The sequence below is a fragment of the Homo sapiens genome, chromosome 2 (assembly GCF_000001405.40).
Source record: "Homo sapiens chromosome 2, GRCh38.p14 Primary Assembly".
Taxonomy (NCBI): Eukaryota; Metazoa; Chordata; class Mammalia; order Primates; family Hominidae; genus Homo; species Homo sapiens.
Genome location: NC_000002.12, coordinates 140,368,194 through 140,391,246, shown reverse-complemented (window position 1 = coordinate 140,391,246; position 23,053 = coordinate 140,368,194). Strand labels below are relative to the sequence as shown.

Genomic DNA, 23,053 nt, shown 5'->3' with positions numbered 1-23,053 from the left:
TGTTTAATGCTGTCAAAAATATTTTTGACTTATTGTATGTTAAGAATTTAGTTTTTTTATTCTTGGGTAATATTCAATGTTATGAATATATTCCAATTTGAATGATTTTAGTAGTTAATAGTTATGATAAGTTTGCTTATCATAATCAGAAAGGTTATAGCAATAACATGTCTCATACAAATTAGTTTTATAAATATTTACTTTTATTTTTATTGGGTGAATACCTACAAGAAAAATTGCTGAGTCACATGGTAGATATGTTTACCTTTATGAAAACCAGCAAGAGAGGCTAGGTCTTCCATATTCTCATAAAAATTAGATATGGCCTTTTTGATTTGAGTAATTCCAGTAGATATGTAGTGTTATCTCATTGTAGTTTTCATTTGCATTAGCTTGATGACTAATGATTTTGAGAACCTTAATTTGCTACTCAAATATGTTGTGTGTGTGTGTGTGTGTGTGTGTGTGTGTGTGTGTGAAGTTTCTATTCAAGTGTTTTGCCAACAAATGAGTAGGCTGTGTAAGAATTTTTATATATTCTGGATAATTCCTTTCTAAGATATGTATGTGATAAATCTCTTTATTTAATGATATGTCCCTCATCTATTCAGTTGGTTAATGGTGTCTTTTAAAGACCAAAACATTTTAATTGTGTTGAAGTCTAATTTATCATTTTTTTATTTTACTGTGAATGCTTTTTTTCAATGCCTGTCCAAGTAACCCTTGTCTTTTCCAACATTATAAGAGTATTTTCCTATATTCTAGAAATTTTACATTATGTTTATACTTTCAGATTGCTTTTTTATGTATGGCATGGGATGGAGATTTATGTTTTTTATAGAGGTAACCACTTGTTTTAGCAATATTTGTTTTAAAAGACTTGCCTTTCTTCATCAAATTGACTACAGGCCTTTATTGAAACTCAATTGACCATATGTACATTACTTATTTTTTAATTCATTTTGTCCAATAGTACATTCTCTTGATTACTGTAGCTTTACAGTAAGTCTTACAATCAAGTACTGTAAATTCTCCAGTTTAATTTTTCTTTTTCAAGAAATGTTTGATTATTCTACAACCTTTGCATTTCCATTTTTTTTTCTGTTTGTTTGTTTTTTACATAGAGTCTCACTCTTGTCACCTAGGCTGGAGTGCAACAGCATGGCACAGCTCACTGCAACCTCTGCCTCCTGGGCTCAAGTGATTCTCCTGCCTCAGCTTCCCAAGTAGCTGGGACTGCAGGCACATGCCACCACACCTGGCTAATTTTCATGTTTTTTAGTAGAGATGGGGTTTCAATCAGTTGGCCAGGCTGGTCTTGAACTCCTTACCTCATGATCTGCCAGCCTCAACCTCCTAAAATGCTGGGATTACTGGTGTGAGCCACCACCACGCCCAGCCTTTTCCATGTAATTTTACAACAATCTTATCTGTTTCTTCAAGAAAATCTTGCTGTAATTTGACAGTGATTAAACCAATTATATGAATATATATATATATAAAACTATATATACATATATATAACTATATATATATAAAACTTTGGAAAAAATGAACATTTTAAACAACATTTTCAGTTTTCTAATCCATAAACATGATATGTATCTGCATTTCTTAGGCATTATTCAATTTTTCTCAGCAATGTTTTATAGTCTTCAGTATAAAAATCATATATAAATTTTGCTAGATTTATTCATAGGCATTTTTTTCATTGATACCATTGTTAGTTTGTTTCATTTTTGTTTATTGCTAACATATAAAAATATAATTAAATTTATATATTGATCTATATTTTATTACCTTCTTAAATTTACTTATTACTTGTAGTAGTTAGTAGATTCCTTTGGGTCTAAAGAGAAACTTAAATTCCATTCCCACTGTTGTTTTTTATTTCACTTCTCCACGTCTTGCTCCCAGAGGCATCCCTAGTGCTAGATTTTTGAATCCCTTTTCAGAAATATCCCATCCATATACAAACACCAATAATATTACATTATATACTACATATAATTCTCCTATTTAAAGGTCTCTCATATTACCTTTCTGGGAGGATCAAATTTATTACCAGTACCACATATATTATGTGATAATATGCTTAAAATGAAAGCAAGTTCCATATTTGTTTTCTCCATACTTATAATACTTGAAAAAGGGAATAATGAGATATATGAATGCTATTTAACAGTATAAATTAATGTAAAACATTACATATTGTGAGCGTTTTATATTAATTACTCTGGAGGTAATATAACATGGAAATATATATGTTCTGTTTTATATCAGTTTTTTGAGCCAGTGATTTTTAATTTTGGTTTCTCATTGGAATCATAGACTAGCTTCAATGAATACTGATGGTTGGATCCCACCCCAGAGAGTCTGATTTTATTGATTTGATATGGGATATGGTTTGGGCAAAGAGATATTTTAAAGTTCCCCAAGTGATTTTAATGTGTAACCAATTTGAGAACTGATGTTTTAGGCCTTACTCATACAGTTCCCCCTCTAAAATGTGTCTCTTTGTGTGCGTGTGTGCACCTCAAGGGAGGTTTGAAGTGCAGAACAATGCTATGTCGTTTGTATTTGTAACTTTTACAAGTAATTTCATGGATCAAAAAGTTAAATAACTCGGAAACATAAAATTTGTATAACTTTACATAAGGCAGCTAATGTTTCCTGCATTACTCTTTCTTCATGCCCCAAAAGGAAATTTTAGCAATGAACTCTAACTTGTTTTTGTTAAGAAATAGGTGCAGGTATTTTTAAACACAAACTATGATACAAATGTTTAAATATAGAAAAAATACAAAATGGATTTAGAAAAAAAAATATAAAACATATTAAATTGATTGTCATTACCAAATATTAACCTTTGGCAGTCAAGGAGAATTGTTGTGCTGAGAGTCAGTGCTATAAAACTGGATTACATGGGCTATTTTTCTGGTCCAGTCTGATCTTTCTTATTTTCTTATATCCTAACATTTTAAGACATGATTTAAAAATAGTACAAGCAGGCCAGGCATGGTGGCTCACGCCTGTAATCCCAACACGTTGGGAGGCTGAGACTGGCGGATCACCTGAGGTCAGGAGTTCACGACCAGCCTGGCCTACATGGCGAAACCCTGTCTCTACTAAAAATACAAAAATTAGCCGGGTATGGTGGCGAATGCCTGTAATCCCAGCTACTCGGGAGGCTGAGGCAGGAGAATCACTTGAACTCAGGAAGCAGAGGTTGCAGTGAGCCAAGATCATGCCACTGCACTCCAGCCTGTGGGATAGAGCAAGACTCCATCTCCAGGAAAAAAAAAAAAAAAAGAAAGTACAAGCAACACATGCAAGGAGTAAATAAGACTAATGTTTACACATGGAACAGTATTTTTAGAGTTTATTATAACTGGCAAATAAAATAGACATCCAAATTGTTCAGTACAAAACCTCATATTTTCAGTGGCCATTCAATCTAACATATTTCCTGATTGACTGAGGTGTGCAGAATGTAACATTAGAAATTCTGCAAAATTTAGGCCAAATTTTAAACCTAAAGTTAAATATAACACAGACAAAGTGGACATAATATAAAGCAGAAAACATTGCACCTGACATTCTGAATAATTATTAGCAGGCAGGAAGAAAAGGAGGAAGGGAAATTCAGGCAATACTTAAAAAAAAAAATAGAAAAATGCATTTGAAATCTATCATAAGAATTTCTCTAATAAAATGTTGCTGGAGCTGGATATAAATTCCTACTTTTCCATTTAATATATTTGTAAGATTGGAGAAATTATTTAAATGTTTTGAGAGTTATTTTCCTCATATGTTTAAATAAATATAACAATACTTTAAAATATTGTGAGGATTGGGTATGATTCTGTGTATGAAAATGCTTAGCAAAGAGGCTGGATCCTCAATAGATGCTCAGTATTTAATTTTCATAAGTATACCTAAGTCACTTTTGCTTTCTTAATGTTATTTAAGTCTGAATTCTGTAAGTTGCATTTCGAAGTAAAGCACAAAACCACCACCAATAACCTACCCACTCCTTTAGCTAATTTGTTTTGCTAGTCTGAGACTGGAAGCACTTCACTATCCATCTCTAGTATGGCTGATAAGGAGTTGATCTAAGTACACGAAAGGGAAATGTGTTCTAAATTGTGTATTGTATTAAGGCTTATAATTTTATCATTTTAGTGTTATTTAATTCATAATTTTGATACTTTAGAACCTTGCTATTCAGTGTGCTTCATAGACAAAAGGCAATATTATTGCCAGCCAGCTCATCAGAAACCCAGACCTACTGAATCCCAATTTCCATTATAGCAAAATTCCCAAATGACTTATATGTATGCACATTAAGGTTTAATGGAGCCCTGTTTTAGCTATACATAGTTCAATATTACTCTTTAAATACATATGATTTAAATTTTAAATAAATTCTTATTACATGCATTCTGATTCTGGCTGATATAGATGTAAGTTACATTTGTTGTAAAAAGCGCTAAATCAGGAGTAGAAGCACACTTCCTTTATATTGGCTGTGCCATTTAATAATAGTGAAAATTTATTAAGTTCCTAAATTTCCAAAAGTTTTTATTTCACCATCTGTAAAGTGAAAGGCTAGTTAATACTTTCCTGGTACTCAGTGCAATTGTTTAAAGGTTCATGTGAGATGGAACATAATTAATGTTCAAACTCTGTACACATGTGAAGCATTATTATAACCTATGAGTTTATGAGTGGGCAGTGGACAGGATTTAGAAAGAACAACTAATCACAGATCAGTTACGAATAAGAGCTCCTTAGGGAGAAAGACAAGATGACAACCACAGAATATGATTAATAACCATATATTTTGTTGCTTCATAGAAGAAATACAGGGTGGATAAGAGAGGAAGTGTCCTAAAGGAAAGGACAACCTCCCGAAGTGCTGGGATTACAGGCGTGAGCCACCATGCCTGGCCAATTTTGATTTTTTAAAAACTGATTTGTGTTGACTTTGCTTGGATGGTCCAATCGGTTTCTTACTGATTAGCTCGCGGTGAAAGCATGAACAGTAACAACATAAAACAAGACAAAAAATATATATTTTCCTCAGCACTTGCCTTCAATTTTTCCTAAGGATGCTTCTTAGTAACTGAATTAAGGAAACATTATATGCCATGGATTTGGCATGGCAGTGAGGACGTTGTGAGGGATGTCTTCATGGAAATCTACAATGCAAACTCTGGTTCTTTCCATTACAGATAAAAAGACTTGTGGACCTCATGAATTCCAGTGTAAAAACAACAACTGTATTCCCGATCACTGGCGGTGTGATAGCCAAAATGACTGCAGTGATAATTCAGATGAAGAAAACTGTAGTAAGTAACTCTTGCCTAATAATGTTTTGAGCTTGACAGCCCATTCAATAAGCAGGATGGCAATTTTTAGTTCTGTTAAGGTATAAATTTGAACCTGTCTTATGGCTCACATTTTTATGCATATATTCACATTTGGACAAGAATATTCAGACTACCTGAATTTCAAATGGTAGAATTATTGAAATGCTTATCCTAAGAGTTATTTTGTTACAGTTCTCACAACTGGTATGAAAGTATCATGAGGTTTAATGCAACCCATTAGTATGCAATGAAGGAAACCCTTGATGCAAGTTCACACAATGAGCTGAATGATGTGGAGTCACTACAAAACATCTCATTCTTTAACAAATAGTATTCATTTCATTTCAGTCTCAAATCCTTTTACACTATAAATTCGCCCATGAGCATATTTCAGTGAAATATCACTTATTCTCTCTACAGTAGTCAACACCTTATATATTCAGGATGCATTTCTCTGAAAATAGAATAACACTATTGTTATCATCTGTCTTCTCCATTTTATATAATAAATTTAAAAATAATAATTCTCCCCAAATTTTACTTTCTGAAGAGTATGGCAGTTATATAAAATTGTGACAGTATCTCCTGATTGTAGCATTTATTTCAGAATATATATATGTATTTTTTGAGAGAGGGTCTCACCCTGTTGCTCAGGCTGGAGAGCAGTGGCATGATCATGACTCACTGCCGCCTTGATCTCCCAGGATCAGGTGATCCTCCCACCTCAACCTTCCAGCTGGGACTACGGAAGCATGCCACCACACCTGGCTAGTTTTCTTTATTAGTTGTAGAGATGGGATCTTGCCATGTTGCGCAGGCTGATCTCTAACTTTTGGGCCCACGCAATAAACCCTGGCCTCCCAAAGTGTGGGGATGACAGGCGTGAGCTGCCACACTCGGCCTGAATATATTTCTTATTGGCACTTTTATACACTGTCATTTAAACAAAGAAAGCTATACAAGCATGTTTAAAATAAGATAATAATCAAATTCCATTTATTAAATATTTATATCTGGTACTTCCAAGAAGACTTGAAGCAGATTAGTAACGATAATGACTATTCTTGCAGACATCTCATTGGACTAAGAGCATTCATTTCCCCAGACGCAGAAGACTAAATCTACATAGGAATATGTTATATTAAAGCATATAATTAGTAGAGTGAAAGCCTTAATAAACCACTTGGATATTTGGCTTGCAAAATACCAACTAATGTTTTGGATAACTTTCAAAACTTAATCAGACCTGTCTTTGGGAATGAAGTATATTAAGCATGAAATCTCTGGATTATTGTGATTACAGAATACCCTGAATATAGAAACTTTTATAACTCCCTCTTTACATACATATCTTCTAACAGGTCACAGTCTTTAGAAAGATAAAGAGCATTGCAGAGAGTCAATAGAGTTTTAGATTTCTTTAATCACCAGTTTTTAAAAACTGTATATGGAAGTTCTCTGATCCACTTAATGATTAAAATAAAATTCTGACGGGGTGGAGCTGGTAGGGATAGAAGCATAAATATAAAAAATCCCACAATTATGCATATACTTTCTGCTTATTTATGAAACAGAACTTAAGTGCACAAATATCTACTTAGCTTTTCTTTTGATATATTTGGTGTTAATCATCTATGAGGTAACTGAGAGCAAATGCCTTATAACGGAAGGATGTTGAAAGCAGAAGAAGGTGGATGAGAGGCCAACTCTGTAGACATGTCTTGGAGAACTTTTATTCATGGTGTGGTTGAATCTATGTGAGAAGTTAGCCTACTGCTATAATAGGAAAAGCAGGAGAAGAAGGAAGGGCTCGCCTGCTTCTGAGTCTGCTGCGGTTTTCTAAGCGGCTGAATATCATTGTACTGACATCTAAAAGTCAGCCTTTGGCACAAGAAAGCAAGGAGAAAGAACATTGACTCTCACTTGTCACTGTGGAAACTCAGTGATAAATCACTGTAGCCACAGTGCCCTTAAGAAAAAGCAGGGGAAGTGCTTGCAAAATCAAGCATTCCAGTATAAAATACCCAATTATGTGTGGTTCTCTTTTAGTTTCTGTTCACTCTGAGCTTGTCGACTAAGACAAGTAATATTGATGAAGTTGCAGAGGAGAGATGACAGCGAACAAGAATGAAGTATTTTACAATTGTAATATGGAAGACTAGTAGGCATATATGGGACAAGTATAAGAGTACGTTTACATTTTACACATGTAAGAGGAATGTCAGAGTATGTTAGGGCAAATATCAAAGTATATTAACATGTTTTGAACATGTAAGAGGATGGATCCAGGGATCTAGATAATTGAATAGGGCTTGAAGATACTATTTTGAATAGGCCAGAAGAAATGGGAAGGTTTCAACATTGACAATGCCAGTCGTTCTACACAGGCAGAAATTTAGTCAATAAAGAACGAGAAAAGAATTCAATTATATCTTTGGGGAGCACCAAAATATTAGTCATATAGAAACAAGCTTTAGAAAAAAAATACTATTGCTGTACTAAAATCTATCAAGATATTTGCAATTGTTATCTATGAAAATAATTGTAAACACACACACACACACACACACACACACACGCACATCACTGTCCTAATACATTAGGGCTGTGGTATATGTTGTCCTATTTTCTAAATATTATTGATCAATGTTATGAACTTTGATTTACATTTGGCAGTTATTGTTAGCTATTATTAAGTAGTGAAACATATCACAGACATATAAATCAACCTATATCATCATGTGTTGCTTAACAGTGGGGATACATTTTGAGAAATTTGTCGCTAGGCAATTTTGTCATTGTGTGAACGACATCAAGTGTACTTACACAAACATAGATGGTACAGACTACTACACACCTAAACTATATGGTTCAGCTAATTGCTCGTAGGCTAAAAACCTATACAGCATGTTACTGTACTGAATACTGTAGGGAATTGTAACACCATGGTATGTATTTGCCTATCAACATTTAAAAAGTACAGTAAAAATATTATAATTTATGGCACCACCACTGTATGTTGTTGGAAATGTTATTATGTAACACATAACTGTAGTTGAAAAATAACAGCAACATAATTTAAAGTCACTTTTGGACTTCTTTGTTTATGAATCTGATTTCATGCATTTACTTTTTAAATTGTGTTGGAGATAGTCCAGTGATAGATATGGGAAGAGTTCAAATAGTAGTGGGGCAATTAACTGCCAACTACGTTTTAAATTTAATATGCTTTCTATATTTTTATATATACATAGGATAATTAGTTCATTGTCATTTTATTATCCTCTGCTTATCATTTCCCTCATTAAGTGTTCAGCAGGGACACTTTGCTTCAACAATTATTTCTGCTCTTCAAAACAAGAAAATCTCATTGTCATTGGAGTTATTTTGTAATCCGGATCAGAGGTTTGGAAATAATTGAGAAATCTCAACATATCTATAATATCTTTATCAACAAAAAATAAAATATGTCATATATGCCATCTAAGTTACTGATTTATGAAATAAATTACTTTATAGCCTTACATTATTAAGAAGTAACTAAAAATCCAATGGATTTTAAAATAACAAGTGATTAAAAATTAAGGTTTACATAGAGAGACAAGCTGCTTCTGCCTTATTTGAATTTCTAGTACTTTCACACTGAATTTCTATCAGAAGATTATTTGTATAGAGTATAAGTTATACTAATTGTATTCTAAAAATTCTTGTCAAATGCTAACATCGACATTCATATAACTTTTGAACTTATCACTAAGAGTTTTTAAGATAGTAGAGAAACTGAAGTCCAAAAGTCTTTCTGCTCTGCCATTAACTCTATGGTTTTGAAAGCCACTTTTATTTCCTGAACATAATTTTCTACAGTTTTGTGTAAGTTGACTTCCAAAGCTCTTTTCAGTTCTGTGGTTGTATGTTTTTACCTCCATCAGTATTGAAAGAAATGATCAGTCTACATGATGCCCCTGTATTTTGTTCTTTTCTCCTCTTTTTTTTTTTTTTTTTTTTTTTTTGAAAGGGAGCCTCACTTTGTTGCCCAGGCTGGAGTGTAGTGGCGCAATCTTGACTCACTGCAACCTCCGTCTCTTGGGTGCAAGTGATTCTCCTGCCTCAGCCCCCCAAGTAGCTGGGATTACAGGTGCGCACAACAGTGCCCAGCTAATTTTTGTATTTTTTGTGCAGGGGGTTTTCACCATGTTGGCCAGACTGGTCTCGAACTCCTGACCTCAGGTTATCTGCCCACCTCAACCTCCCAAAATGTTGGGATTACAGGCATGAGCCACCACACTCAGCCCTTTATATTTTATTCTTATTGAAGAATCCCAATTAGCCTTCTGAAACATGGAAAACATACCCTGCAAAAGCTTCTTGGTTGCCAATCTGGCTTGTCTAGATGAGGTTTATGGAAAACCTGGTTAATTGTTCCCGTGTAGAGTTCCCCATCTACTCTTGGTCCAGGGATATAGGCAATATCAGAGAAAATTAGCATGAATATAGCATTTTGGAAATACGGGGGAGAATGTCACATTCAACTTTTTTTTCAGATGGGTTAGCTTTTACTACAGTCATGTTGTTTTTGTTATTGTTCTCTTTCACAAGAAAAATAGTATCATGATAAAGTCTGAAAATTGGTCTTTTATTTTATCCAAATAAGATCAAAGTTAAGATAAGCAATAAGGAAAAATTCCTTAGGGCTTTCCGTGGTAACTAAATTACATTTTCCTGAAGAGAGAGTTTCTTTTTGAGCTATCTAGTGGCAAAAGATTCTGAGGTATATGAATGATGGTTAGAAATAGACTTGGTACCCTATTCCTTGATGGTATTTGTACATGTATAAATAATTCATGATTATTATTCAGAAGTAGATTTGCTGGCATTTTTAAAAACGTGATAGAAACATGCAGAATTTCCACTTTCCCTGGAAAAGCTTTTCCCAGCAAATCTCTCAGCCTCTCTACTGCCATTTTGAAGCAGAATAATTAATAATGTTAGGACAAAGTCTCTAGAAAATGAGCATTCTGTGGAACTCTTGGGCAAATGCTTTCAACTACTGGCTTGATAACTTTTTTTAACCTACATCAACAACTTTCAACCCTTTGTATAGCAAAGTGTGTCAAGGCCTGTGAAGCCTTTGCTGTGTAGCACATCATGAGCACACTTACTTTTAAATAGGATAAAGGCAAATTAGAACATTAGAGGAAGAATTAGTCCCATTCTACAACTCCCAATTCTATGAAATTAGATGTTTCTTCTGCTGTTTTTAAACATGTAAGCACGACATGTTTTAAATTTACTCTTTCTTTATTCTTTTCATGAAAAAATTTTGGGCTGTTATTTTCCATTGTTAAATAAATTGAACATATTTCACTATAATTTCTTTCCTCTAAGAATAAAACTGCATGTGTCTGCAACCAGGAGGGCGAAATGGCTTCAGTATGGAATGGTGATAACAGCAAATGAGTTTCTTCTTGTTATTATTAATAAAATAGATATTGCTAGCCATGTGCTTTAGATAAGTAACTTGGCTTCCCAGGGCTTTAATGTTAATCTCTGTAATATGTGGACACTTATTTTTTCCTCAATTGTATGGGAAGCAATGATACAGCCTACTAGGAAAAAGTACAGGCCCTGGTATCTGGTTGTCTTGATTCAAGTTCAATTAATAGCTCTTCTGTACGCTCTGTGATTTGAAGTACGTTACTTATCTCTGTGCCTCAATTTACGCATCTTAAACAGGGTACAAGTATAGCACGTTCCTTAGAGAGTTGTTACAAAAATTCACTGGTGAGTTAATTCAAGTACTTTTCATTAACTTTACCTAGTACCTGACAACAAATAAGCAATCGGTAGATGGTAATTATTATTAGTTATAATAAATATTAGTATTAATTGTTATTTTTAAGATTAAAGCATAATCTATGTGAATACCTTATATAAACAAAAAGGGAAATTTCTATTGTCACATTTACTAAACAAAGGAGTGTAGGAACATGAGAAGATTATCCACTTAAGGGCATTTTCCCATTCTATCAAATGGCACCTTGTCTTATACCGTGAAGGTCTTGTTTTAAACTAAACTAAGTAGCAGAGTAGAACGAAATGCTTGCTGACACACATTACTTTTTCTATAGTTCTTCCCATCCAATGTTCTGAAGGGTTTCTTTTCTTTTTTTCTTTTCCGAAGCACAGTCTTGCTTTGTCGCCCAGGCTGGAATGCAGTGGCATGATCTCAGCTCACTGCAGCCTCTGTCTCCCAGATTCAAGTAATTATCCCACCTCAGCCTCCCAAGTAGCTGGGATTACAGGCGCCTGCCACCAAGGCAGGCTAATTTTTGTATTTTTAGTAGAGACGGGTTTTTGCCATGTTGACCAAGCTGGACTTGAACTCCTGACCTCAACTGATCTGCCCGCCTCGGCCTCCCAAGTGCTGAGATTACAGGCGTGAGCCACCGTGCCTTGCCCTGAAAGGGTTTCTTTATATAGGAATGTAGGAACCCTCATGATACCAAACCATCAAGATGTTACTCTATATGTAGAAACCAAGGGATTGTGTAGAGCAAAATCCAGATGCAGACTGATTTACTCACAATCTTTGTGCAGAAAATCAGGCATCATATGGATATTCCTTAATGTCTGTTAGTTATTGCTTCTTGACCCAGTAAGAATATTATTATGTGTGATACAGCTGCAAACACAAGGAATGAACAGAGAAAACACGAAGAGGTCTTTCATCATGTAAGATATCAGTCCTGTTTAGAGAATAAAAACAAAACAAGAGATGATATCCAGCAGTCATATTGATTACTTGCATGAACGAATTTCTGAAATCCTACTTCATTTTCCAGATGAAACATATTCCAATAGGAATTAAGCCAAGTAGTAAGTCATTACTATGTGGCTTATGCCCTATGTGGACTATGGGACACCATAATTAAATCAATAACTGCTAAATTATCTAAATTGACAGGCAAGTGATATAGGGCACAATAAACAATGGCATAAACAAATGTGCAGTTTTTAAAGATGAATCTTACAAACTAGCTTTGTGTAATATTATCCCTATATACTGTTCTTGTTCCAGGAACTCCAGATTTTCTGGGGACAAAATTGAATAATTAGAATGTTTTTAGAATACATAATATAAAGTCAAATACAAAGGCTAGACTCACTGCCCAGTTAATAATAAACAGTCCAATGGGTACAGAGAGTCACAAAATGTCATACTTACTTAAAGTAAATACATAAAATGACATAGAACTCCAGCAACTAAAAAAGATCATTGTTACAGTATGACAATAGGTACATTTTCAGGCTTATTTTTATTAAACAGTAGACCATTTATCTTTTGTCCTACGTTCCAACTTGTTTTTGTAATGCCATTTTGTACTTATGACTTTAAAAATAAATTGGAAAAATTATTATATTATGTACCATAGATGCTTCATGAGATTTTTCCTAAACAATATATTGGTTCTGTCTGACTAACCTCTTTTTTTTTCTTTAATGCTACCTCATGTCATATGTCATATAAATTTTACAATGCACTTACATATAATAGAATAACCCTGTGCTGTTTTTTTATCCCCAGAGCCACAGACATGTACATTGAAAGATTTCCTCTGTGCCAATGGGGACTGTGTTTCTTCAAGGTTTTGGTGTGATGGAGATTTTGACTGTGCAGATGGCTCTGATGAGGTAGGCATCTTTGTAAAATCAAAAAGAAAGCAGCGCTTTAGAACCACATTTGTAATTATTATTATTCAGTCCAATAAGTGCGGCAAGGACAGCTCAGAAATACTTTGCTCCTGACACATTGAGATAAGTATTATATCCATGTGCTGTGCTTCACATCCCCAGCACAGGGAATAGCTCTTGTGCTGCTATTGACAGTTAATTTTATAGTCTGTTTTACCTCAACTGGTGAATAGCTGCGTTGTAGGAATAGGATGTTTGGAAACCCTATTCCCTATAGCTGATGCCCCTGCCATCTGTGAATTAGTTCATAAATTTGCTGCAGTATTTATAGTCAGGACTAATATTTTTATGCATTTTAAACAGTTTCTTCTCCCCAGTCTCTTTCTTCAATAGATATAGTCTTACAGACATCGATGTGGGTCATCAATTTTTATGAAACCACAGGTTGAGCTTTGCTTCGGTGATGAATCACAATCCATTTATAATAAGGCCTATGTACACACAGCTTTAAGTGAAAAAGTTTACAAATCCTCTGGATAATTCTATAAACTTAGTTTGTGCTAACATTTATAATACTTCATACAATTTGTTATTTATGCATTTATGTCCTTATGTTTCAGATATTAATTACTCCATGATGCTTTAAAAATAATAAACAACACATGATTATATATATTTTTCTCAATCAAATCTAAAAGGACCCCAAGCTCTCATATCCCAGTATCAGTGATTTCACATGGATAATATCAGAAACACAAGGTTTGCGCAATCAAGTCCAGTCAGAAGTGAAGGAAAAAAGAGCTCTAGCCGGGCATGGTGGCTTACGCCTGTAATCCTAGCACTTTGGGAGGCCGAGGCGGGTGGATCACGAGGTCAGGAGGACAAGACCATCCTGGCCAACATGGTGAAACCCTGTCTCTTCTAAAATACAAAATAATTAGCCAGGCATGATGGTGCACGCCTATAGTCCCAGCTACTTGGGAGGCTGAGGGAGGGGAATCGCTTGAACCTGGGAGCCAGAAATTGCAGTGAGCTGAGATCGTGCCACTGCACTCCAGCATGGCGACAGAGCGAGACTCCACCTCAACAACAACAAAAAAAGATCCTGTTCCTCAGTGTATACCATGGCTCCTGTATTGCAATGATTCCCTAAAGCTCCGCTGCTCTGGTTGAGAAGCATATGTACTCACCTCTCATGAATGCCCGCCCGCTGACCATAGACTTGGCCAGAGGATTTTCGCTGCAGCTCTGGAGGTTTCTGTGTTTGTTCCCAATTCCCTAGGCATCCACTGATTTCATGCCTCTGTGGGAGATACTACAGGTCTCTGGTATTTACAGAATTCATGCAAACTAGGTCTCTTCCAGCCCTGAGGCATTCCCTGTAGGACTGGACAATTCTCCCTTCTCTGACCATTTTGAAAAAGTCACAATAACCACATTCAACAGCCTGGATTTTGAAAACAAACACATGTAATTTCTCGCCTGAGGGCTAGCAAAACCTAAGTCTCAAGGATGCAAAGGTCGCTCAAGAGAAAAAGTTGAAAAATACACTGCTTCTAGTCATGGAGCTCTTCACAAAATAAAAGTCAAAACATTTTTTTTTTTAAACACAAAGGAGAGTTACATTTTTTACACTCATTTACCAGCCACATATTTACCTAGCATTCATAAATTTGAAAATTACATTAAACTTTTCTAAGGCAGAAAAACACATTTTAATTAAACTCATCCATGAAAATATCTTGGCTTTGGTTTTGTTTATTTAATACGTTGAACCAATCTGGGTAATATGTAAAACATCAAGAGGTGGGGATGTATTGGTTAAGGCTTATATATTTATCTTGAATCATATTCACAAGATATGCAAAGTGCATATGCGAAATCAAATACTACTACTTCTTTAAAATCTTATTCATGTGAAAGTAGATATCCTTATTACCATGTATCTCATCCCATAAGTTGGTGGACATAGTGATTTGATGGCTAAATATATCTCCATATATCCAGACATTTTCATGATAAGGCTCAGAAGAAATGAAATTAATTGTAGTAAAGTCATTTTTCTCTACATTTATAGATGTTTAGTGCAGTCTATATGTAAGTAGCTAACACTATTGGTAGTTGATTTCTACTTTTTTTTTTACAGTCTAGAACAAAAAAAAACTGAACAAGTGGCTAGAAAGCAGAATTACACACAGAATACTCTCACATTAAGAATAAAAATTGGGAGAATTGTGAAGATAAGTTTCTGTATGAATGGAACTGATAATATGATTAGCTTGTTAATAACAAAACAACAAAGAAGAAGTTTAAAAATATGGTTCAATCTAATTGTATAGCAAGTATTTATCTCTGTGGCACACACAGAAAATGATTACTTAAAGTGATTTTAAATTATAATATTTTTGCTCTACATTTAGCGTAATATGTTGTAAGAACAAAAAAACAAAGAAATCTTAAACTGCATCCATAGACATTGTTAATAATAATATTGGCTCTGCTAATTTGAAACATGTAGGGTGGTTCAAATGCTTATTTATGTCAATGTCATTAGAATCAAAATTTCAGAGAAAGGAGATATAAATGTAGAAACAAAAAGTTAAGTAAAATCCTCTCTTATTAAATCCAAAAGTATCAGTATAAGATCTTGATTAATCTTTCTCTTTCTAAAAATATATGATTTCTACATCTGCCAGTGAAAAGTCCTAGAACCAATTATAAACCAATGGTAATGACTGTCCTGAAATTCACCAAGTGGTCTCTAAATACCATTTTCCAATTAAAGGAAACACTCCTTTGAGAGATGCCTAATTTTAAGTGTGAGAAAATAAATTGACAAGATGAGCTGCTAACATCTGAGATTATTAAGAGAGTGTACAAAGTGCACAACAACAAACTTACTTAAAGGAACTTCCACTGACAAAAGGGACAATTTGTGCATTAGAAAGAAAAACGACTGTAAGGGATTAAAACACACACACACACACACACACACACACACACACATACACACAGTATAAAAATCAATGAGTTCACAACAATACTTTAAAAAGCAAAAGCTCATTAATCACTTTGGAGGTTGCAAAGGTATCAACATTCTTAGGGTGCAATTAGTCAAATTCAGAATGTGAGCTATTCTATAGTATAACTGACTTGTTTTCTTCAAGTAGTAAATGGCATTTAAAAAAACTGAAGAACGAGAAATAGTTATACATTAAAGAAACTTTAATTCAAGGTATAGATCTCTTTTGAGTCCTTACTTTACCAAACAATATTTTATATGGCTAAATGACACAACAGTACCATTGGTCATTGAGCTGCTTTACTTAAATGAGCCCACTTGCAGAGATAATCATTCATCGCTCCTAAAAATGTTTACTGGATAGTTATTATAATCATGTGACAGTATTAGATACTTGGTTCACAGACAGGCATGATCTTTATCCCAGTAGAGCTGGGATAAAGTTATATGAGATGTTAATTTACATTTGTTTTCTATATTTGCTAGTTTATTAATTTATTAATTCACTCAGCAGTTTGTACTGAATGTTTACTATGTCCCCGGCACTAATAGTATGGAGAATACAGCGGTGAATAAAACATATGACATCTCTTTCTTATGACATTCTCTAATGTCTTTCACATCATTTGCTATTATGTAGCTTCCTCCAGATATCCCACATTTCCGATTATCCTTACACATAAAAAGCCTTTTCTTAAGTAGTTCCATTTCTACTTAAACTGTTATCACAAAGAGAAAATTTCAGGAATTTAGAAAGTGAACTCTTTTTCCTTATATGGGGATGAACCTGGGAAGAAGCAGCAAGTAGTAGTTCAACGTGCTTTACTTGCTAGGAGTTCCACAAACCATGAGATTGTTACACTTTTTGTGGAAGAAGCAGACAAGTACATTTTGGCAAAAATAGAAATTCCCTAACAACAGAAAACATCATCCCAGTGAGACACTTCATTAGAGTATTCCACTTCAACCAGAGTGTTCAGACCCAGGGAAGGTGATTTCTAGTGACTCCATTTCATTTATCTCCTATACAGATCCTCAAAGGTAAATTTGCCATCTTGTTTGACTTCCACATAAAATCTGTATATGGACTAGCAGAAATGAAAATTTTGACAGTTCATTTCACAGCTCTTTAGGGAACAATGTCAGAAAAGAGGAGAAGGAGAACTGCAACAACTAAACTGTAAAAGGATTGGTGCAAAGGAAAAGAGATGGAGAGAGGAGAAAGAAAGAACACCAGGGGAAGCTTTGCCCATGCAAAACAGATTTGTCTTAGGATTTTTGTTTGTTTCACATTCCATATCCTTAGCCTTCTTCTCCCTATAGCCAATAAACTGGATGTAGTTGCTTAGAAATAATTTTTGAAAAAAATTGTTTAGAGACAGGATGTCACTATGTTGCCTAGACTCGAGTGCAGTGGTATTCATGTGTGCCCATCATCGCGCACTACATCCTCAAAGTCCTGGACTCAAGCAGTCCTCCTGCCTCAGCCTCTTGAGTGGCTGGGGCTATTGCGCCAGGTAGAAATAATTCTTTAACTCTTTTATTATCTCATAATCTTCATTATTACCTAAAATTATTAAAATTCCATTACCCTATAACTATCTACTGAATAATGATACTCTCAGAGTAACTTAATTAGTATGATGAAGCCATAAAATTTTTTTTTATCCGTTTTTTGTTTTATTATGACTCACAGGGACAAATGAAAGTAGAAAATTGTTATAATTCTGTTGTATATTCATGGGCTTAAAATATTAGCATCTGAGCCACTTTTATATAGCAGACATGGTTCTTACACTTCTGGGTTTCTATGCATAAGTTGTCTAGTCTTTCGGTTTGTAAACATTTTTCTAAAAACGCAATTTTAATTACATCTATGTTGTTTTTGACAGAGAAGTTGTGAAACAAGTTGTTCCAGGATCAGTTCCAGGTTTTCTGTACATAAGTTTTCTTGTCTTTTGAGTGTGTAGAAGTGTTTCTAAAATTTTAATTTTGATTATATCTCTGTTGTTTTTCATAGAGAAATTGTGAGACAAGTTGTTCCAAAGATCAGTTCCGGTGTTCCAATGGTCAGTGTATACCAGCAAAATGGAAATGTGATGGCCATGAAGACTGCAAATATGGGGAAGATGAGAAAAGCTGTGAGCCAGGTAAAAGGATTGAAGTAATATATCATTTAGTTAACATTTTACCTTGATAGAATTTAAATTTAAGCAGCAATATGCAGAAAACAGTGGCAAATATGTCATATGTTTACCATTTTTAAGAAAGGGTCTGCAAATCTGTGGATAAATTAATTAGTGTGTGCTTCATATGTTTTGAAAGTGTTTTGGAAAATAAGATCATTACTTATGAATGGAATCCAAGCATAATTTCCCCAAATTTGATTTTCTGGTTTCTATATCTTATTATACCATTTGGAACTGTTTCCCCAAGATAGGAAAGTAAAATCTGTTGAAATTAAAAGTACAGTAAAAGATAGGTTTTAGTTATGGAAATGGTGATTATGAAATAGAATGTAATCATTTCAATGTGATGCTAGCTAAGAAGCAGCATAATTGTGTTGTTTGTATTTACATCTTGGGCCAAAATTTGAGTAAAGTTAGAAAGCAAAGCCAGAAAAAAGATACACTACTCAATTTATGTGCTAGGTGTCTCTACAAATATACTCATTAAAACACTTCATTTTTTAATTATATATTTTAATTACATTATCTTACAGAAAAATATTACTGGTGGAAAACTGTACTATAATGTATGTATGACCATAAAACCATTACCTTGAGAGACTAGGTCAGAATCACAAGTACAAGGCTCACACATTACTATGCCCCAGTACCATGTCCATGGGCTATATTGTTAATTGATCACAGATTTCCTTCTTACTGAATACAGACATGTTATTAGACTCCTTATGAATACAGATCCCTAGACAAACACTGCCAATTAAAAGGAGTTGAACTCAAGGAAAAAGCTTTTTAGTATCCCTGAGCTAAGGAATTCAGACTACAAAGTCATTAAGTAAGTATGAGAGACTACACAGTGGTCTAACATAAGGCCAGAAGCCCAGACATTTGAATGCAAGCCTAGCCAACTCAAGCTCATAGAAAAAGGCAGCTATCATAATTTCTGTCAATTAATTAGACTGGGTAGTATTTACATCTTGTGACTGATACACTTATAAATATTATAAACTTGCAAATATTACACTTGTAAATAACATTTAGCTGCTTGTTATTCTTAATTTCGGCATCATAAAGGAATACTGCACATTCTGTTAACTCTGTTAATTACACATGTATTCATATTTAAAATCCCAAAACAATACAATTCTTAGAACTTATTCAAATACTTTATTTATGTCAATGCAACCAAATAGATATTATTGGGTCTGTGAGACCATGCCAAGATTTTGACTTTGTGCTTTATACAGTGAATGTAAGAATTAACATACTCAAAGGTTGCTAAATATTATTACAGTTTTGAAAGTATTTGGAGACTTCAATAATTTAAAATGATTTAATTTAAAATTGTAAAAAAAAAAACTCATGTAACACTTCAAAATCAAAGGGATGAAGGATATCAAGGTTTGTTTGTTTTTTTTTCCTTCTATGGACTATTGAGTTAAATTCTTACTGCACAGGTTATTGCATCATGAAGTATATTTAATATAATGCAATAATATTATAACTAATTCTAAAATTATTTAAATAATTTAAATGAATCTGTAATACCAGTCATTAAATGTCGTTATATAGTATAAACTATTTTTATTACCATCTATAAATTCATATATTTATGTGTTTATGTTTTTATTTCTAAAACCTGTTATTTTTACTCTATCTCAATTTCAAATTTATAATTGTATTCAGCTTCTCCTACTTGCTCATCACGTGAATATATATGTGCCAGTGATGGATGTATTTCAGCATCTTTGAAATGTAATGGAGAATATGATTGTGCTGATGGTTCAGATGAGGTAAAATATATTGTTTAATTAAAATATTTGAATTACATGAATTAGGTTTGGGCAAACAAATGTAATGAAAATAAAGAGAAAGAATCTTGATTCTTAGCATGGTTTAACATGTTAGATATGTACATTGAATGCAATCATTTCAGCAAATACCTGAATTTTCATGCTGTCCATATACTAAAGCTCATTCTCATTTGTAGAAGTTATATTCATTAAGACAAAATGAAAGAAAGCCCATGGTATAATAAAGCTCTAGTATTACAAGCTGCATGTTTATTTTGCCCATGATTGTATCATTATCATTAATGAAAACTGCAGTGTCCATTTGTATTTGAACAGATGGACTGTGTGACTGAATGTAAGGAAGATCAGTTTCGGTGCAAAAATAAAGCCCACTGTATTCCAATTAGATGGCTGTGTGATGGAATTCATGACTGTGTGGATGGCAGTGATGAAGAGAACTGTGAAAGAGGTAAGGTATTTTTGTGTGTGTGTGCCTGTAAATGAGAGAATGAAAGTTAAGGTTCTGTGCAGAATATACAGTGTATGCTAGAGGCAGAGGATAGAATCTTTAAATAATTCTCTTTACTCTTCCAAGTTTCATTACATAGCAGCCTGGTCTAAATATGCAAAATCCAGATCATTGTCAGACAGAGTATAATCCCAATCTGGGCATGACAAACACGAACACAGGGCAAGTGTTTACTGAGTGTCTACCATTTCAGACTAGATGCCGGGTCAAGTATAGGGATATGTGGAGAATACAGAGAAAGTAGCCAATGAAACCATGACTACAAAAGTATATCTTGAATTTTCTGTATATCCTTTCCTTTCACATTGCTTGCCTTACTCTGAAAGCATAGGAACAACATATGGCATACTCAATTGCTTACATTCATATGCTGTATGATATATAGGTTATAGGTTGTGCCCCAAATCCCTAAATTTCCTTATTGCCGTATCACTGAGAAAATAACCTACATTTTTTTGTCAGTCTAAAAGACAACTTTCCTTTTTGTCATATATTATTTCCTAGCTGTGCGAAGATTATTTTCTGACAGATAACAACATTTTAGTTTTAAACCACCATATTAAACGTAGCAATTGTTACTTCTTTAGAGTTATTTCGCAAAGCAATTGTGTGCTGAAGCTTAAAATGATCACAAATTAATCCATGTTTGCTAGTTTCATTTTGTTAGATATATTTTTTAAATACAAGATATCTTGTGACCTACTTACAAAGTCTCTCAATAGATTTTACACTTCTTGGTATTTGGAAGATCATCCATAGAGATGGTGCTAGATATTGCCACATGATTTAAGGCACTTGAATGTGCACTCTAGGTTTATGTATTTTAAACCTGTCTAAAATGTTACTTTTGTAAATATGTAGTCACCTAAGAAAAACAGTATTTTACTTTCTTTAATATTATTTCAGATGTTTATGATTAGATAATATCTCCATCCCAAACCTGATAAAGTGCTGTATTATGCAGAAAAAAATAGTTTTTTTTTTTTACAGCTCCTTGCAGAGCAGGGTTAACTCATAGACAGTGCACCCAAAGTAGGCCTTCAGTTTCCTTTTGAATTTGCCATTTATAATAGAGACCCATGAAATGTTAAATGTCTATAACGGCTCTTTCTACCTTAGGCTAAGTTCTCACACTCACTTTCTGTAATTGGTCACTCTAGAGACAGCAAACATTGTGGAAAGTCTGGCAGCAATAACTCATGCGACTTTTGCGTTCAAAGGTTTGGGGATGACAATTAAGCTACTCCTTGTTTTCCATATTCTAGCGAATCACCTCTATTGCTCAGCTTCAATCACTACCACCCGCCTAGTTCATTCTCCCATTGCTTCTTGCTTGGGCTGGCATGATGCCACCTAACTGGTCTCCAATACATCCTATTTACTGTTACAAGGTTCATCTTATGTAAGTGTCCTTCCGATTATGTCAGTTTTTACTCAAGGTACCTGATTACATACAAACAATTCAATCTAGTAATCAGTTATGAGAAAATGACCCCATTTTATCCTCCCAGACTTACTTTCCACTGCACCTCTTTATGATTTGTATCCTAGCCAAACTAGAAAATCTCAAGTACCTTTCAGATCTAAAATTATTCTACTAAATATTTAATCTTAATGACTGAAAAAGAGTTGAGAGCCTTTAATTCAATCATTTCCAAATGTTTCAAAGCCCCTTTCCCCTCCATTCACACCTCTAACTTGGTTTTCTTTGCTGCTGGGTAATTAAGCTCCAATGACATATTTTAGTGGTTACATTATTTGATCCCATATGAATGTACCTTAAGGCATTACCACTTTAGATTTCTAGTATTTAATTTACTCCCAGGAAGTGGCGTAGGTATTGGGTAAAGGCATTTTAAGGCATTGAGGAAATGGGATGCCAGAATAAATATCTTTTCTATTAAATCTCATTTCTATTCATTTCCAATCAGGATACATGAGCTTATAGGAGCTGAGTGTTGGGAACTGGAATATAAGAGAGCTGAAGGATAAGCGTGACACAGTTTCCCAATTAATCAGTTTTACTGGTTTACTTTAAAAGACAAAAATTCAAAATACTCTGGAATTAAAAGCAGCATTTGCATTTTTGAAGGTAAAATATATGACCTCAAGGAAGTGTGGTGCTTGTTTTGGCCTGAGCTTTCAAACTTTACACTTTATATAATACTGGTGGAAAAGATTGGGGGGTTCTCTTTTGAGTAATTATCAGCTCAACAATGTGTTAGTCAAATAAATTATAAAGTATTATCATGCATTAAAGCTTCTCTCAACCCAATTAAGATGAGAACTCTAGATGCTTATTTTCTGTGATGATGCACTTGACCAGATTTATATGAACTTTCCAAGGTCTCTGTTATAATTTAGATGTATTATTGTTAATTCATATATACTTTTCTATTTTCCTAATATTTTCTGTTGAGCTGATTAAGAACATGACCAGGAAACTGGAATTTTAA

At 34.0% G+C, this 23,053-nt stretch overlaps 1 protein-coding gene across 4 annotated transcripts in view; it reads left to right on the top strand.

Moving 5' to 3' along the window:
- LRP1B (LDL receptor related protein 1B) overlaps window positions 1-23,053 on the top strand; it is a 1,899,594-nt gene that overhangs the window by 1,739,770 nt on the left and 136,771 nt on the right. For all 4 annotated transcript variants that reach the window (NM_018557.3, XM_017004341.2, XM_017004342.1 and 1 more), the window contains 5 exons: window positions 5,238-5,354; window positions 12,961-13,067; window positions 18,110-18,239; window positions 19,962-20,068; window positions 20,405-20,537. In NM_018557.3, the coding sequence (NP_061027.2) occupies window positions 5,238-5,354; window positions 12,961-13,067; window positions 18,110-18,239; window positions 19,962-20,068; window positions 20,405-20,537 (594 nt within the window). The remainder of the gene's footprint in view (window positions 1-5,237; window positions 5,355-12,960; window positions 13,068-18,109; window positions 18,240-19,961; window positions 20,069-20,404; window positions 20,538-23,053) is intronic.